General features: G+C 41.0%; 1 long non-coding RNA gene across 3 annotated transcripts in view, besides 1 other annotated feature; it reads right to left on the reverse strand.

The window, feature by feature from the left end:
• LOC105376626 (uncharacterized) overlaps positions 1–3950 on the reverse strand; it is a 59489-nt gene extending 55539 nt beyond the window's left edge. For all 3 annotated transcript variants that reach the window (XR_001748180.2, XR_007062653.1, XR_007062654.1), the window contains exons 1-2: positions 3440–3950; positions 1879–2072 (exon numbers count right to left, since the gene is read on the reverse strand). This is a non-coding gene — a long non-coding RNA (uncharacterized LOC105376626). The remainder of the gene's footprint in view (positions 1–1878; positions 2073–3439) is intronic.
• Positions 14853–14902: an enhancer, noted in NCBI's record as "active region_4613". NCBI's record gives its function as "activates an Ori minimal core promoter by ATAC-STARR-seq in GM12878 lymphoblastoid cells {active_cell/tissue: GM12878}" and the evidence as "EXISTENCE:reporter gene assay evidence [ECO:0000049][PMID:35858748]".

The raw sequence follows: 19555 nt of genomic DNA on the forward strand, positions 1-19555 counted from the left end.
TAAGGACTTTGGCTTTTCCTTTGCATTAGACGGGAGGTGCTGGAGGGTTGTGAATGGGAAGAGTGACATGACCTGACCTAAGTGTTAAGAGTCACCCAGGTTGCTGGGTGTGAATAGACAGAAGACAGGTGGGGCAGAAGCAAGAAGACCAGCTAGGAAGCCATGACAGTGACAAAGGCTAGACGGCAGTGCCTTGGACCAGGGGATAGCAGTGGAGATGGCAGAGAGCTGGACATGTTTCATGGTACTGACAAATGATTCACTTTGGAGGTGGGTTGTGAGACAAATGGAGGAGTCGAGGTTTTTGGCCTGAGCAACTAGAAGAAGGACGTTCTTGAGATATGGGTAGAATAGGTGTGAGTAGAAGGTTCCGGAAGGCTGTTTGCACATGTTTAGATATCCAAATGGAGATGACAAGGAGGCAATTGTAGATAATGAAGCTGAAGTTGAAAAGCAGAAGTCGGGACTGAAGATATAAATTTGGGTGTTGGTGTTTAAAGCCATGGGATTGGATGAGATCACCTTGGGAGAGGATATAGACAGAAAAGAGAAGTCATCCGGGCCTTGGTCCTCTGAGATCAGCCCTGCCCTAAATCCTGCTTATGCTGCAGGAAGAGAATATCCTCATGGTGAAGGAATTGACCCCATTTTGCCTTGTCCCAGATAGCTGATTCCTTAACGTGTGAGGATAAATGAGGCAACACCATGTCCTGGAAATTGATCCTCACTGGAGACCAACCATTCTGTGAGGGAAACAAGCAAACATCCTCAGTGAACATCTCCTCTCCCTGTCCTCAGCTCAGTTGAGATTTGAACTAGCAACCTAGAAGATAAGCGTCTTCATGCCTCTACTGGCTCTCCAAGCACCCTCAGCCTGCTCATGCTAGTCCAGCCCAGGGTATTCTGCTCCCCAGAAGAGAGCCTGGTCTCTAGGCAAGCAGGGTGTCCTTTCCACACTGAGCTAGAGACTGACCACCGAAAGAAAGTGAACTCTGAGGCAGCAGCAGCCTGGCTAGGAGCTGCCCCACACATTTTACCCATTAGCTGAAAATCTTTTCTAACGATTTCCATTCCCCTTATAATGAATCATCAAATGAGCAGGGCCCCTGCTGGGAGGTTAATAAAAACCATACAGGATCTTATGGTTTGTGCAAAGAGAAAAATTGGCTGTCTGGGGCCCTGGAAGACGGCAATCTGAATCTTTTTCCTCAGTGGATCTTTAGTCCTGAAACTAGATTGCAGGAGGAAATGAAGCAAGAGCGTGGGGGGAGAAGCTCTTGAAATACCTCCCAGTTTTCTCCCTTCCTCAGCTTTCGTGTCACCACTCAGGCTCCCCAGGACTCACCTGAGGGAATCCCAGCCACAGAAAGCACTCACGGAAGAGCAGAGAAGCTGGAGAAACAACAGTAGCAGAGATAGCATTTACTGTACTCAACTTTCTGGTCCCCCGGCTTGCTGTCCAGATACTCACTCATTTCCCCACCTTCGTTGTCATTCTTTTAAAGGATTCTTCCATACACTTGGTTTCCCTACCCATGCCCTCCTACTCTCAGCTTGATCCCTTTTTCCTTCTTTCTGAACAGATATAACTATTCCATGATCATCAGAGCCTTGATTGGCTAGTACCTTTCTGAAGCCCTCCCATTCTTTCATCCTCTCACATTCACTAGGACTCTACTCTGCTTTTCTGCCCAGGAGGAAAAGTGGTCCAAAGACCACACATCTTAACGCTGGGGCAGTACTTATGCAGCCAGTGTTTCATCTGTTTCAGGATGGAGCTCATTTTAAGTCACCTCTGGGAGCTTGGTACACAGCAATAAAAAATGAGGAGTTTGAGATCCCTGGAGAATTGGAAAGACAAGACTTCTTTTCTCTTACCCTCAACCGGGTCCTAGAGCACAAAAATGAATTGCAATTCGTTCTTTGCTTCTTGTAGCTGGTGAGATAGCAACGGATTTTGCTGTAGCCAAACTCCATGTACAAATGGCGATGCAAATCAGTGGAAAGGGTGCCTTTCTTAATCCTCCTCCTCACGGTGTTCCCTACTGGGCACCAGGGATCCTCAGCAGGACCTACAGGGGCAAGCATTAAAAATAGTCCTTTGTGTTCAATAAAAATTTGGTAAAGATGTTGCTAGTGCTAGGTGTCTCTTCTGCTCTAAAGAGAGGCCTTGCAATTTACCAATCCAAAATTTTCATTCATTCCCTTATTCATTCAGCCTTTTTATTGAATGACTACTATGGCTAGGTTTGGTGCTACATGCTTCAGATAGAATGGTGAACAAGACAGATGAATCTTACAGTAAAGGTGGAGGGAGAGGCAGAGAAATAAACAAATTCATCAAATCATTACACACTTTAGTAAGTGCTATGAGATATTTGCGGGCTGCTAGCCCAGAGGGTGAGGTTTGATGAACTGCAGGCTAAACATAGAAATAAAAGCAAGCTGCATTTTTTTAATGACTTGCTTTTACATGTAACTTAGGAAATGTTTTTTGGAGAGTCACATCACAGCAAGAGTTTAAAATGGAATTGCTTACTCCTGAGCTAGGACATCAACAATATCCATGATCTCATGGAGGCAGATTTCATCTCCTAAGATGCCTTTCAAATGATGTGAGTTTGCCTCTATTCGGGAAATAAATCAAAAAGACAGCCCAATCGCCCCAGCAACAGGCACTACTGGTTGTCTACAGAACAGCTGTTCTCTCCTTGCCCCATCCCCTTTTCCATGTCTGAGGAGGTCTTTGTGACATTGTACCTGAGAGAATGGTCTAAAGCTCATTATTAGGCACTTGTTTGGGGAGAAGTGGATCATGTCATCTACTTGAAAGAGATGTTGGGAGGTCCAAATAAAGGCATGGAGGTTGATACTTGCCCTTCTTAAATTGTTTTCCCTGGACTAAGAGAATGAAATCTATACCATAGGCTTATGACTTCTCAGTTCCTCTTAATAGGATTCAAGCCACAAATCCTCTTCTGTGGCAACCCAGACACGTGGCCATTTTCCTACTCTTTGGTAACTAAGGCTCTGCATGGTGAGGAAAGGGTAAGTGATCATATTTTAGAGAGACCTGTAAACCCTAGTTGCCTTCCCCTAGCCTCCCCAGTCTGACCTCACATGGTTGGAGTTCTAAGTGTGACAAAGGCTCTTTAGAGACTTCATCTAAACCTGACTTGATTTTAGATCAACAGAAACTGTACATATCCTTTTCATGGAACCATTAAGTTCATTCTTGGGTAAACCAGGATAAGAAAGAGAAACTAAAGCTTTCCTATGTTAGGGTAGAAAGGTGGTCTGCAAAGTATATCTTTTTTTTTTCCTGTTCCTGGTATTTTAAACTGTCCCACCAGATCAAGCCACATTTATAGTCCTACTTGTCCACAGATCCAAACCAGCAGCAACCCCTGATGGTTGAGGGATTTGATCAGGTCCTTACCTTATTGTTCTCCACCAGCTTCCATTCCCACCTTGTTCTACAGCCTCCATCTCCATCCTCTGGTTTCTTCAGATTTGATTGTTTTCTATGTCTCTGCTTTCCCTTATTTTAGCGCCATGCTTTAGCTCTCAATGAGAGATCTACACCCCAACTTGACCCAGCTTGACATGAGTCCCATTAGCATGGGACTTGCTGACCTGTTCCAGTTCTTTCCCTTTCTTCTAAGGCACCTTTGGCAAATGCAGACTCATATGGGTGGTGCTTCCTCTACCAAAGCACATCAGGCTAAGCGTAAGAGGGATGCCACAGTGGGTAGGTCATGTTTGTAAAGTTAGACCTTGAACTAGTTTTCAGTTTGTCCACTTCTCCTCTCATCTTGATAGTATCCATACCACCTTTGCTGCTAGTCCTAGTCTTGTCTTAGGAAATGATCAACTAACTTAGTCCTTAACCAATCTGCTCTGCATCTTAGATTTGAACCAACATTCTCTCTCCTGATCTAGTACAGAATGGGCTTGTGTTTATCTGCTCAGAGATAAACACTTTATCTTTGAGAGAAACCACTTCCTTCTCTCTCCCCTTTTGCTCAGTCACGGGATCTAGCCCATCTGTAGCCACAAGAGTGGGAGTGAGACCAGTCATACAATTCAAATTTGAATTCATCTGACCCCAAAGTTTCATTAGTACATAGTTGTGCCTCTAGGTGTGAAAACTTGGTAGCAAGTAATTAGAACAAGGTTGGACTGATAAGCTCTGTTGTTCAAAGAAATGGGAAAAGAGCTTGCTGAGCACCGTAGGTAATATAGCAGCCAGTGGACAGTCCACTTGGGGAAATCAAAGGGGCTGGTGTTCCACTATAGAACAATTTTGTGTCTTAATAGAAATATCATCCTGTATTTCCTGGCCACCTAGAATCTCATCTAGAATCTGCTGTTGTTGGAACATGCTACTTCATCTGGGGAAGATACCATGTCTGAACAACAGTTGTCGCATAAAAATTTTTTTTTAATTTTACCAATAGTTGTTTTATTATTATTAATATTATTATATTAACTTTTATTTTAAGTTCAGGAGCACATGTGCAGGTTTGTTATGTAGGTAAACTCATGTCACAGGGGTTTGTTGTACAGATTATTTCATCACCCAGCTATTAAACCTATAATCATTAATTATTTTTCCTGATCCTCTCCCTCCTCCCACCCTCCATCCTCTGATAGGCCCCAGCCAGTGTCTGTTGTCCTCCTCTACATGTCCATGTGTTCTCATCATTTAGCTCCCACTTATAAGTGAAACTATGCAGCATTTGGTTTTCTGTTCCTATGTTATTTTGCTAAGGAAAAAGGCCTCCAGCTCCATCCATGTTCCTGCAAAGAACATGATCTTGTTTCTTTTTTATGGATGCATAGTATTCCAGGCTATATGTGCACCATATTTTCTTTATCCAGTCTATCACTGATGGGCATTTAGGTTGACTCCATGTCTTTGCTATTGTAAATGGTTCTGCAATGAACAAATGCATGCATGTGTCTTTATGGTAGAACAATTTATATTATTTTGGGTATTCTAATGGGATTGCTGGGTCAAATGGTATTTCTGTCTTTAGGTCTTTGAGGAATCACTACACTGTTTTCCACAATGGTCAAACTAATTTTAAAGAACCTTCTTGGGGAGTGATTGTGCAGTTGTTAAGTGACCTCCTATAATATATTGTTGTTGAGAGGACTTTCTTTTTGGGTGCAAGTATATAATACTTAAAGAAAACCCAATATGAAAGCTTTATTAAAGAAAAAGAAAGATTAGTAAACTGGGAATTAACTATTTGCTTTTAAAACAGAAGTCTCCACAGGGCATGGGGTCTCATTCTTGTAATTCTAGCACTTTGGGAGGTTAAGGTGGGAGAATTGCTTGGGCCCAGGGTTTCAAGACCAGCCTGGGCAATATAGTGAAACCCTGTGCTAAAAAAACAAAAAAGAAAAAAAGAAAAGAAAACAGAAGTCAGTGTTTAATTCTTTTAAACCTGGGATAAAAATATTGCTTCCTGGAACATACTATTTTTCACAATAAAATTTGAGAATAACTCCCTAAAAACCAAATGAGTGATTCTGCTTCAAAGAAGATGTAGTAGATACATGTTTTCCTATTTTTTCCCTCTAAGTACAATGGAAAACTTTGGACATTATATATAAAACAAAGGTAGAAAGGCTTTAAAGGGAAGAGAAGAATGTAGATTGGCTGGGGACTTAGGGACCATGGAACAAAACAATGGTGAGTTCTCTGGGTTCCTGGGCTTTCTTTTTGCCGCAGCTATTCCAGACTTGGGAATAAGGAAGATGATAACCTAGAAATGCCAATGGGCACAGACAAAAAAAGCCACAACAAAAGACTGTTCTCTTTAGCCAAGGAACAGGAAATGAGTAGCCCAGCAAGACAGAGGACCTTTAGACCAGAACCACTCTACTCCAGTCAGACACAACAGGGAAAAACAAAACAACAACAACAAGAAAAACACTGTAGCCCCATCTCCAGTCATACCAGGAAAGGCCTAATGGGGACTCTAGATTTCTACCCTAATTAGGCCGTAATAAGGGCCGCAACACTATTTCTTACCTCCACCATTCCTCCAGGGTGGTGTCAGAAAATGCTGAATAGAAAATCAGGACTTTATTCCTGCCTGGCGAGAAGAAGTATCCACACCACAGTATCAGTGGAGACTATGTGGGAGCCTGGAGTTTTACCTCCACCCAGCAGTGAAGAGGTGCCTCTCCCTCCCTCTTTCCCCAAATAGTGTCATGTCAGAGGATGCCTAGTGCAGGGTCAGGACCTTTGTCACAGCAGTAGTGTGACTCTCCCCATGGCATCAGTGGAGGCCATGGGAGATGCGGTAATAAGGCATTCATACTCCTTCCAGCCAGGGAGGTATGAGTGGAGCCCTACTGGGGAGCTAAAACACTGACCCCCATCCAGCAGTAATGAGGAGCTTCCTTGAGTGTCCATAGAGGTTAAATGTGGAACATGAACGTCTGTCCCCACATGGCAGTAATGAGGGGTGATCCTCTTTCCCTTGCCAGAGCAATGTCAGAGGAAGCCAGTGAAAACAGAGGTTTAAATAAAATCCGGAGTCTTATAACACCACAAATGTTCAGGTTTTAATTTAAAAATCACTCGTCATACCAGGATCTCAAATGGAACAAGACAAAAACAGACAATAGATTCCCTTATCAAGATGATAGACATGTTAGAATTATCTACAATTATTTTACAGTAGCCCTCATAAAAATGCTTCAAGGGGCAATTAGTAACATACTTGGAAAAAATGTAAAACTAGAATGTCTCAGGAAAGTAATAGAAAGTCTCAGCAAAGAAATAGAAGGAATAAGTTAATAAATGGAAATTCTAGAACTGAAAAATACAATAATTGATGTAAAAACTCAGTGGATGAGCTAAACAGCAGAATAAAGAGGAAAGAGGAAATAATCAGTGAACTAGAAGAGGGAATAATAAAAATTACCCAACCTGATAGAATTTAAAAAAAAGAAACAAATTCACAATTATAGTTGAATACTGCAATATTCCTTTCTTAACAATTGATAGACTACTTAGACAAAAAATTGGCAAGGATATAGAAGAACTCAACAGAACTCAACATCATCAACCATTAGGATGGAACTGACATTTATAGTGCCCTCTACCAAACATCAGCAGAATACAAATTCTTTTCAAGTGTTTACAGAATATATCGCCAGATAAGCCATATCCTAGTGTATAAAAACAAAGCAAACAAACAAAAAAACCTCCAAAATTTAGCAAATTAAAAAGAGTTGAAATCATACTGAGTGTGTTCTCTAGCCCAAATGGAATGAAATTAAAAACAATAGAAAGTTACAGAAAATTCTCCAAACACTTGAAAACTAAATAACAAGCTTTTAAATAAACTTGGTTATTTAGAAAGAGGATCAAAAAGGACGGCTCAAGAGAATTTTTAAAAAACTGTTCACCTACCTGAATGAAAATGAAAATAAAAAGTATCAAAATTTGTGGGACACAGCCAAAGCAGTACTGAGAGGGAAATTTATAGCACTAAAAGCATACATTAGAAAAGAGAAATGTCCTCAAATCAGTCATCTAAACTCACATCTCAATAAAAAAGAACAAAAATAAATACAATGCAAGCAGAAAGAAGGAAATAATAAAGAGCATAAATTAATGAAGAGGAAAACAGAAAACAATAGAGAAAATCACTGAAACAGTTTGTTCTTTGAAAAGATCAATAAAATAGACAAACTTCTAGTAGAACTGATAAAGAAAAAAATAGAGAAGACACAAATGACTGGTATCAGGGATGAAACAAGAGAAATCTTTATAAAACCTGCAGACTTAAAAAGACAATAAGGGGCCAGGTACGGTGGCTCACGCCTGTAATCCCAGCGCTTTGGGAGGCCGAGGCAGGCAGATCACAAGGTCAGGAGATCAAGATCATCCTGGCTAACATGATGAAACCCCATCTCTACTAAAAATACAAAAAATGAGCTGGGTGTGGTGGCAGGCGCCTGTAGTCCCAGCTACTCGGGAGGCTGAGGCAGGAGAATGGCGTGAACCCGGGAGGCAGAGCTTGCAGTGAGCTAAGATCACGCCACTGCATTCCTGCCTGGGCAACAGTGCAAGACTCCATCTCAAAATAAATAAATAAATAAGACAATAAGGAAATACTATGAACAAATCTACATATATAAATTGAACAACTTCAATGAAATGGACCAAATTCTCAAAAAACACAAACTACCACAACTATCCAATATGAAATGGATAATTTAATAGCACTATAAATATTAAGGAAATTGAATTAGTAATTAAAATAAAAACTGTTCCTCTCAAAGAAATTTTCACACATTGATGATGATTTCACTGAAGAACCCTAACAAACATTTGAAAAAGAATAACAATAGCTTCCATAAAATAGAAAAAGTGAGGTGGGAGGACACATTCTAATTCATTTTCTGAAGCTAGTGTTACCCTGATCCAAAACAAGAGAAAGACAGCTCAAACAAAGAAGCTGCAGACCAATATCTCTCATATATATAAATACAAAAACCCTTACCAAAATATTGGCAAATAGAATTCACAGTATGTAAAAAGAATTATAGATTAGACCACATGGGATTTATTCCACAGATGCAAAGCTGTTTCAGTATTTGAAAATCTATGTAGTCTATCATATTAACAGGTTAAAAAGGAAAAATCACGTGATCATATTAAAATCATGCAGAAAAAGTATTTGATAAAATTTAATACCCATTCATGATGCTGTCAGAAAAATACAAAGAGAGGGAAACTTCTTCAACTTGATAAAGAGTAGCTACAAAATACCTGCAGCTTCCATTGTACTTAATAGTGAAAGACTGAATGCTTTACCCCTAAGATTGGGAAAGAGGCAAGGATGTCCACCCTTATTCAACATCATCTTTAGTCAACATTGTACTGTAAGTTCTAGTGAGTGCATTAAGGCAAAAACAAACAAACAAAAAAACCCCAAAAAACAGAAATAGAAGGCCTATGTATTGGAAAGGAAGAAGTAAAATCGTCCTTATGACATGAATGTATATGTAGAAAATGCGAGGGAATCTACAAAAACTTCCTAGAACTGAAAGATGAGTTCAACAAGGTTACAGGATACAGGATAAACATAGAAAGGCCATTTTGGCTGGGCATGGTGGCTCACACATGTAATCCCAGCACTCTGGGAGGCCAAGGTGGGCAGAAGGCTTTGAGCTCAGGAGTTTGAGACCAGCCTGGGCAATATAGTGAAATCCCATCTCTACAAAAATAGCCAGGTGTGGCTGCAAGCGTCTGTGGTCCCAGCTACTCTGGAGACTGAGTGGGAGGATCACTTGAGCCTAGGAGGTAGAGGTTGCAGAGGTTTCAGTGAGCTGAAATTGTGCCACTGCGACTCCAGCCTGGGTGAGATCGAGACCTTGTCTCAAAAAAAAAAAAGAAGGTAAGAAAAGAAAAAGAAAAGACAATTTTATCTCTACAAACTAGCAATGGGCATGTGGATATAAAATGTAACTATACAATATCATTTACAATTGCTAAAAAGAAGTAAAGTACTTAGGTATAAATCCAACAAAATGTTTGCAAGAAGTATATGCTGAGAACTACAAAAGCCTGGTGAAAGAAATTAAAGAAGACTTAAATAAATGGACAGACATATATTGTGTTCATGCATCAGAAAACTTAACATGGTAAAGATGTCTGTTATCCTCAAATTGACATACAGGTTTAACCCAATTCCTATCAAAGACCCTGCAAGATATATTATAAATACAGACAAGATTATTTTACAATTTATATGAAAAGGCAACATAACTAATTAAAGTAATTTTTAAAAAGAAAATAAGGTGGCAGCGATCATTCTACTCCAATTCAAGACTATTTATCTGGCTATAGTAATCAAAACTGTATGACACGGTTGAGGGACAGACACACAGATCAAAGAAACAGAACCCATAAGTAGACCTAAACAGATGCACCAACTGATTTTTGACAAAGGTGCAAAAGCAATACAATGGAGGAAGGATAGTCTTTTCAAAAAGCAGAAACAGACACTTATAAGCATAAACAAAACAAAACAAAACAAAACAAAAAAAAACAACCTCAACTTCAGTCTCATAGTTTATACAATAATTAACTGAAAATGGATTATGGATTTAAATATAAAACATAAAACTATAAAACATATAGAAAAAAACAGAAGAGAAAGTATCTGGGATCTAAAACTAGGCAAAGAATTCCAAAAGCATGATCTATTAAAGAAAACATTTAAAAACTGGACTATATCAACAATTTAAAAACATTTTGTGAAAAACTTTGTTAAGAGGATAAAAAGACAAGCTACAGACTGGGAGAAAATATTTGCAAATTATATAGTTATGATATCTGGATCCAAAATATATAAAGAATTCTCAAAACTGAAAACAAAAAAACCTAATTTAAAAAATTTTATATTTGGGAAGACATTTCACCAAAGAATACATCAGAGTCAAATATGCACATGGAAAAGTTCTTAACACCATTAGTCACTGGGGCAATGCAAATTACATAATGAAATGTAATAATGAAATTGTATTAGTCTGTTCTCATATTGCTATAGGGAAATACCCCAGACTGGGTAATTTATAAAGGAAAGAGGTTTAATTGACTTACAGCTCTGACTGGTTGGGGAGGCCTCAGGAAACTTACCATCATGTTGGAAGGCAAAGGGAAAGTAAGCTTGGACCTTCTCACATGGCAGCAGGAGAGAGAAGAGTGAGTAAGAGAGGAACTGTCAAACACTTATGAAATCATCAGATCTCGTGAGAACTCACTCACTATCATGAGAACAGCATGAGAGGGACCACCCCCATGACCCAATCACCTCCCACCAGATCTCTCCCTCAACACCTGGGGGATTACAATTCAAGATAAAATTTGGGTGGGGACACAAAGCCTAACTACATCAGAAATACCTAATATGGGCACATATTGGAATGGCAAAAATTTAAAAAGACTGACCATACCAAATGTTAATGAGGATGTAGGAGAGCTGGGATTCTCATATATGGAACTCTCAGATATGGCTGGAGGGAGTGTAAAGTAGTACAAACACTTTGGAAAACAGTTCAGCTGTGTCTTAGAAAGTTAAACACATAGCTAACATACGACCCAGTCATTCTATTCTTAGGTATTTACCTAAGATAAATGAAAGCATACAACCATATAAAGACTTATTTATGAATGTTCATAGCAGTTTTATTTCTAATAGCCCCAAACTGGAAACAACCCAAAAGCCCATCAGCAGATGAATGCACAAACTGTATTTAAAACAGTTATCAAACAAATTGGAATATTACTCATCAATAAAAAGGAATGAATGATTGATGCACACGTTAATATGGAGAAAATAGTTTTGCTGAATGAAAGAAGCCAGACAAGAAAGAGTACATAGTGTGGGATTCCAGTTATATAAAATTCTAGAAAATGTAAACTAATCTATAGTGACAGCAGATCAGTGGTTACATGGGGATGGGGTAGGGAACGGATGGGAAGACATGAGAGGGAGGGATTACTAAGGGGAATAAGGAAACTTTTAGGGTATATGGATATGTTCATTATCTTGAAGGTAGTGATTGTTTCATGGGTTTATACTTATGTCAGAATTTATCAGATTGTATGCTCTAAATATGTGCAGTCTATTGTATAATGATTATCCCAAATACACCTGTTAAAAAGTGTGTTAATAAAGTTTTGACCATTGATCACAATTATTACATAGCCATTTACCTCAATTCACCAGTATTTGCGGAGCACTGGTGTAATGCAATTAGCTATAATCAAACCACAAAATGGCAGTAATGTAAATATCTGATGGTTTTAGATTTTTTCCAAACTCATCATAATTAAATTGTAATAGTTGACTGGTTTGAAGGAGTTCAGATGACTCAAAACAGATTCTTCCTAGGAAGGTATAGAGAGTTTCAATTTACAGATATAATGGTTATTGAAAATCTGTTATAATGTAAGAAAATAAATTAAAAACATATTTTTTAAAATGAGGGAAGGACATCTCCAAAATTAAAAAATGAGCTCTCTGTATTTAAAATAGGATTTGGCTTACAAAGCCTTCAATTGCACTTAACTTTTGTGAGAAATATTTATCCCTTAAAAGGATGTGTAGTCAAAGTGGTCACACTGACCCAGAACAGTAGCCAATCAACATTATTTTTATAGATTTGTGTGGACTTGGTTTCAAAATTGTTGTTTTTTCCTAATTTAAAATTTTATTTTTGAAATTCATTCATTGGGTTCCAAAGTCCTGCCCTTGTGAATAAATGGATGTATTCATACACATATTTGGTTGTTTATAAAATCTGCTTTGCATTTTCACACCATTGCAATGTTGTTCTAAGGTCATAGAATTACTTTTAAGAACAACATTAATACAATTCATAATGTTGATTTTTCTTCATGCTAAAGTGCTTTACATGTATCCCTATAGCCGTGTACTAGCTGCCTTTGCCTGGTTACGGCAAAGTATATATATATATATATATATTTTTTTATTATACTTTAAGTTCTAGGGTACATGTGCACAACATGCAGGTTTGTTACATATGTATACATGTGCCATGTTGATGTGCTGCACCCATTAACTCATCATTTACATCAGGTATATCTCCTAATGCTATCCCTCCCCCCTCCCCCCACCCCACAACAGGCCCTGGTGTGTGATATTCTCCTTCCTGTGTCCAGGTGTTCTCATTGTTCAATTCCCATCTATGAGTGAGAACATGCATTGTTTGGTTTTTTGTCCTACTGCAAGGTATTTTTAATCATTTGAGAGAGAAGGGTTTTTCTTTAAATCCATAGCTATTATAAGGCAAACCATTCTCAGCACTGGTGGGTAGTTTCATGGACTTATTATGCAAAGGAAATCATATCAGCAGTGATGAGCAGTTGAAGATTTCTCAGGTAGAAGTACAAAGATGAGACAGAGTCAGTCCAAAGCATTGGCAACTAAGTCTCAAAGTAAGGTAGCATTTGTGGAAATAAAGGGGGTAGTGGATCCTAGCTATAGTGTGGAAACAAGTAGAAGTTGGCTTATTGAGTGTGCTCATCAGCAAGTCATGCAGGGACCTCAGAAGCTGGTAGAGGGAAGAGAAGAAAGCTTGGAACTGCCAAGCCCAAGATGAGGGTGCCAAGGCTGTAAAATAGGACTGGTCTCTGATGGAGTCATAGAGAGGCCATCAGCATCACATTAAGTAAACAATACGTGGCTCCTTGAGCTAATAGGCCAGCATCTATAACTAAGTGGAAACTTTTTGGCAAGAAAGGCAAGATCCCAGGCTCTTCTAGAACAGAGGTTAACAAACTTTGGCCTTTGGGCCAAACATAGCCCGTGACCTGTCACAGCTTTACTTGTTGATAAATAATGCTGTACAGAAGCACATGTCTGTTCACATGTTACAATGACAGAATTGAGGAGTTGTGACAGATACTGCAGGGTTTGCAAAGCCAAAAATATACTCTATCTAGCCCTTTGCAGAAAATGTTTGGCAACCTCTGTCCTAGAAGATGGTGAGGCTTGGAGGCAGTATTGTGTTTCCAAGTGATATGTTTATCATGGACTGAGGGAAACCACTGAAAAGAAGGAAATGGCAAGGTTTAGGCAGGATGTCAAGACCGTATCTGAATAGTCTAGAGTCCAAGACCCCAGGTGTAGGCAGAAACCAAAGCAAAAGATCTCTCCTATTGATTGGACAAACATGGGGAGGATTAAGGCAAGAATGAGGCTCATTAGGCTTGTGAAATCCAAGCGCACCTTATAATAGATATAGACAATTCCAAAGCAAGGACAGCAAGTCCAGTTTCAATGATTGGCTGATGGGTTTCAGCCAATGGTCAGTTTGAAATGCTCAGTGCTGAGTGGGGCTGGGAAGGCAGAGACTGCCCCGGGAGTAAGGAACTATTAAGTCCAAATAACCTGGATCTTTCTGCTAGACAATAAGAGGATGGCGCTATCCTCTCTACTTCCTGTTCAATATAGTAGCTCATCACACTCATCAACAAAAGGAATGCAATGGAAATTAAAATATCTCCCAGATATGGTTGTCAGATTTAGCAAATAAAAATACAGAACACCTAGTTAAATTTGAATTTCAGATACACAAAGAAAAAAATTTAATGTAAGTTTGTCTGAAATATTGCATTGGACATAATTATACTAAAATTATTTATTATTTGAAATTCTAATTTCAGTGAGAGTCCCGCATTTTGTCTGGCAACACAATTCCCCGGAAACTGGCCACCTTTGTGATAAATTATGATTAACAAAACAATGTTTTAACTTCTGGGGCAGTAAGAAATTTCTAGACCTCTGGTCCTTTTTGTTTCTCCCTCTGTCTACATACTTCCTTTCCCACCTCCTTTTATCTCCTCTCTATCACTTCCATTTCAAGGCTTGTCCAGGAGGGAGGACCAGTCACATCTGTCAATACTTCCAAGAATTATCATATGGCTTTAACTCTCATTGATTAAACCAGAGAAAGGCTGGAAACAGAGAAAGAAGAAGTCAACCTTCTTAAAGTGACTCACAGGAAGGAAACCTGGTGGACGGACAGTTTGACGATTGGTTTCTGACTCACTGGAGATTTCTTTGCTAGAGATATGCATCATTAATTTGGTATCAACAAACCATTGACATTTCCCGGGCAGTACACAGAATGCTGTCGTGGTAAAAACAGGTTTAGATTAACTGCTGGGCACTTCCTGGTTCCAAACATTAAATTAAAATGGAGATTTTTGGGTTTCATGGAAATCTCTGAGATAAAAAGCAGAAGACTCTGTGAGAACCACGCTCACAGTTTTCAGGCATCACCCCAGCACTATATTCTGTGAAGATGTTCTTGGGAAAGGTTCAAGAGAAGTCAAATCTGTGTAACTTGCTGTATGCTGTGGTCACAGTGGATAAACCTCACCTGCAGTGAAGAGGATGTGGGCAAAGATTATGCTCAGTGATGACTTTAGAAGCTTGGGCAATATGTAAAAAACACTTACAAAACATTAAACTGATGGGATTTTCATTATTCTTCCCTACCAATCATTCTCTAGTGACCTTTCCACCACTGTGACAGTATTGGAGGCACCCATGAGGATCTCCCTCTGAGAAAGAACTTGCTGTTCAGCTGCAAGGAGTGCAGTTAGTTTGCAGCCCCCAGCTGTTTGCACCTTAGCATTGTCTCATCTTTGAAGCTCAGGCCATCCTCTTCTTGGGCAGCCCCCAGAGAAGGGCTGAGCACAGAGGGGTTGCTATGGCTTGGCCATTTCTTTCAACATGGGGCTCCTCAAATGAGCAATATTTGTTTTCGAAATGCCCATGAAGTGAGCCAAAACTTTGTCAGGTCTGCACTGAGCTCTGAGGCTCATGCAGTCCAATCCTGTTTCCTCCCCATTTTGTCTTCATTTCCCAATGCAATTGATTCAATGATTGTGTCCCCTAAAATTCATATGTGGAAATCCTAACCTCCAAGGTGATGGTATGAGCAGGTGGGGACTTTGGGTGACAATTAGGTCATGAGTGTACAGCCCTCGTGAATGGGATCAGTGCCTTTATAAAAAAGAACCCCAGAGAGCTCTCTCACTCTTTCCACCATGGGAGGATACAATGAGAAGTTGGAATCTGCAACCCAGAAGAGGGCCCTGACCATAACCCAACCATGTTGGCACCCTGATCTTAGACTTCCACCTCCAGAACTGTGAAAAATAAACTTCTGTTGTTTCAGCCACCCAGTCTGTGATACTTTGTTACAGCAGCCAGAACTAACACACCCAAGAAACCTCTTGCTTTCCTAATTCTGCCTTCTTGGCCACTTCCCTGAGAGCACATCTGACACACTATCATGGCTTCAAGGAAGCAGGCAGAATGGGTGCCATTTTAACAAAAGAAAATAAATTTTATGGGGAAAGTTCTTACCAGAAAGGAAGGGGACAAAAGGTTAAGTTCAGTCCTTCCTGCCCAAGAGAGATTGTGAATGAGAAAGAAATAGAGGCAGAGTGTGACCTTCAAATATTAGGGTCTTGCCTCCACTCTTCCTTGGGGTCAAGCCTTGTTGGGGGCGGGCTATAGAAGCATTTAGAAAGGTATTAGGAACCTAAGAACATTGGGCAAGTGACATACTTTCCCACACATGGCCTGGAGGAGGCTGAAAGCACCTAGGAGAAGCCTCGTATTTGTCTTGGCACCATGTCTAACATGGCTTGAATGAGATAGTGCAGCATTAGCAGACAGAGGAACCTTCATAGACAGCAATGTGATGTTTCCCTATGTTTCTACAGGCCCCGGTAAAGGTCAGGGAAATTCAAGGGAGATTGCTGAAAATGTAGAGGCCTGAGGTTGGGAAGTGGAAGCCACTGAGATCAAGGACTTTGATTTCTAGGGACAATGACATTGTCAGTGTTCCACAGCTATGAATGCCATTGCATGCCAATGGAGGGCCTAAACCAGGATCACCTCAGGGGAACTAGCATAGGACCTGATTCCCACATGCATAGTCACATGGTAATGCCACTCCCACCAACCACAGAAACAGGTGCTAACGTTGGGGAACTTAAGGATGCTGGAAGAGACCAAGAGTCCCTGATTGTGTAAGTCTGGTCTTTTCCTCGTTTCTCCACAGGGTTAAGGGCGCACAGGGAAGATTTGATCAGTTACAGAAAACAAAGAAGCTGCATATTTTCGCACAGCTGAGAGTGTGTAAATCAATTAGTGACCCCACTGCATTTGAATAAAACAGCTTACATTTTGAATTTTAGTCCAAGCTATACAGTTAAGAGGGTCAAACTTAGGGTCTCTTAAGTCACATCTGAATAACAGCCACCTGAAGGGAACCTCCATGGGCAGACAAACTTATAGTCTCTCTGTGTGGTGAACGTTTGGCCTTTCTCTAGACCACATTTTCCAAGCAGTGGGAAATGAACTACTGGTGATAACCAAGATGATTTTAGGGGGTGTGTGGACACCATTAATTAACACTGAATACGCCCAAAGTATTTCCAGTTTCTATAAGTCCTGATGACATAAGAGAAAGTTTTTGTGGCACTCTGGTCTTCAACCTCTCTAAAACCTTCCAATTCCTGTCCTTCTCCTAGCATTTTGTTTTTCGGAGACAGGGTCTAGCTCTGTCACCCAGGTTGGAGTGTGGTGGCACCATCAGGGCTCACAGCAGCCTCAACTTCCCAGGCTCAAGTGATCCTCCCACCTCAGCCCCCTGAGTAGCTGGGACTACAGGCATGTGCCACCATGCCCAGCTAATTTTTTTTTGAATTTTAGTAGAGATGAGGTGTTACTATGTTGCCCAAGCTGGTCTCAAACTCCTGAGCTTAAGCGATCCTCCCACCTTGGCCTCCCAAAGAGTCAAGGAGTGATTAAAGGTGTGAGCTACAGTGAGCCACCGTGCCCAGCTCCAATTCCCCTTTTTGACAGTGAGATCAGACTTCAGAGATTCAGTAGCACCCCCCATCCCAATGCTGCCTCTATTCTCCATGCAGCAGCCAAAGTGACCCTCAAAGAGACGTCAAATCGTGTCCATTCTTCACTTAAGAAACTCTCATGGCTCCTCATTTAACTCAGAGGAAAAGCCCAGTGGCCCTCACGGCCCTCCCTGACCTGGCACTTCACACTCCAGCCTCCCCGCTTCCCACCCCCTCACTTACTGCTTCAGCCTCAGTGGACTCTTGATTGGTCTCAGAATGTTCTTTCCCCAGACACCATGACAGCTCACATCCTCTTCTGTCAAGACTTAACCCAGATGCCACCTTCAATGTGGGGGCTCCCCAGGTTATCCTGTCTTGGATTGCAAACCCTCTTCCACTCTATCTCTTGCTCTGCTTCATGTATATGTGTGTGGGCATAATATCGTTTACTTACTTGTATTTTTGTTGTTTAAATAAATGTGTGACTTTTCGTATGTTTATTGCGGCACTATTCACAATAGCAAAGACTTGGAACCAACCCAAATGTCCATCAATGATAGACTGGATTAAGAAAATGTGGCACATATACACCATGGAATACTATGCAGCCATAAAAAGGATTAGTTCATGTCCTTTGTAGGGACATGGATGAAGCTGGAAACCATCATTCTCAGCAAACTATCACAAGGACAAAAATCCAAACACTGCATGTTCTCACTCATAGGTGGGAGTTGAACAATGAGAACACTTGGACACAGGAAGGGGAACATCACACACTGGGGCCTGTTGTGGGGTGCGGGGCGGAGGGAGGGATAGCATTAGGAGATATACCTAATGTAAATGACGAGTTAATGGGTGCAGCACACCAACATGGTACATGTATACATATGTAACAAACCTGCACATTGTGCACATGTACCCTAGAACTTAAAGTATAATAATAAAAAATAAACAAATAAATAAATGTGTGACTTTTATTGCCTGCCTCTGCCACTAGAATGGAGGCTCCATGAGGTCAGGAGCCTGTTGTCTTCATTGCTGTCCCCTCAATCTTTAAAGCAGAGCTCGGTACTTAGTGGTTACTCACATCATATTGACTAATTAAACAAATGAATGTTCCCAGCTCCCACCAGCCCCTCCTACCTGTTATGGTCAATATCATGTCTTCTCTCCCTCAAGGCTCCCTTTTCACCTCCTCCTTTTCCTGGCAAAGCAAACACAACAAACAAAAATCTGCAAGATGCTGGGAGGCCAAGGCAGGTGGATCACTTGAGGTCAGGAGTTCAAGACCATTCTGGCCAACATGGTGAAACCCTGTCTCTACTAAAAATACAAAAATTAGCCAGGTGTGGTGGTGCGCGCCTGTGATCCCAGCTACTCGGGAGGCTGAGGCAGGAGAATCACTTGAACCTGGGAGGTGGAGCTTGCAGTGAGCCAAGATTCCACCACTGCACTCCAGCCTGGGTGACACAGTGAGCCTCCACCTCAAAAAAAAAAAAAATAAAAATAAAAGCAAAACAGAAAAACCTGCAAGATGCCATAGTGCTCCCTTCTCAACTTCATGGAAATTCTGAAATATATATGGGATTCATTTTTCCTTCCAGATGTGCGATTTGGAGGGTGGAGTGTCAAAGGAAGAGAACTGGGGGAATTCTTGACCTGGCTGGGCTCTTCTTTGGCCCCAGCTCCCCGTTCATCCTTCACCTCCCTCCCATCCTGGCTGCTCACATTCCTATGTGGTGAGTTCTGCTCCTCAGCAGTGGAGCAGGGGCTGGACTGGGCAGGGGAGAGTCGCAGGCTCCATGTGTCCAGCCTGCCCTGGTGGACTGATGGTGTTGCCCAGGAAAGGCGTGCGAGGCCACGGCTTCTGACAGCCGCAATCTGGAGTTGCTGTTAGGTCTGATTGAATGATTGACACACCACAAGCAGAAATCTAGAACTCCAGAACGGGTCTGGTGGAAGGAGCCAACTCTGTTTGCAGTTTCCTCTTCTCACCACAGCACAGTGTCGGGTTACCACGGAGATAGGGAGGAACCTTCTGAGACCTCTCCAATGGTGGGTGGCAGCCACAGTCAGCCAGGGAGGACTACACCCAATCCTTGGCTCCGCCCC

This window comes from Homo sapiens, chromosome 11 (assembly GCF_000001405.40).
Source record: "Homo sapiens chromosome 11, GRCh38.p14 Primary Assembly".
Taxonomy (NCBI): Eukaryota; Metazoa; Chordata; class Mammalia; order Primates; family Hominidae; genus Homo; species Homo sapiens.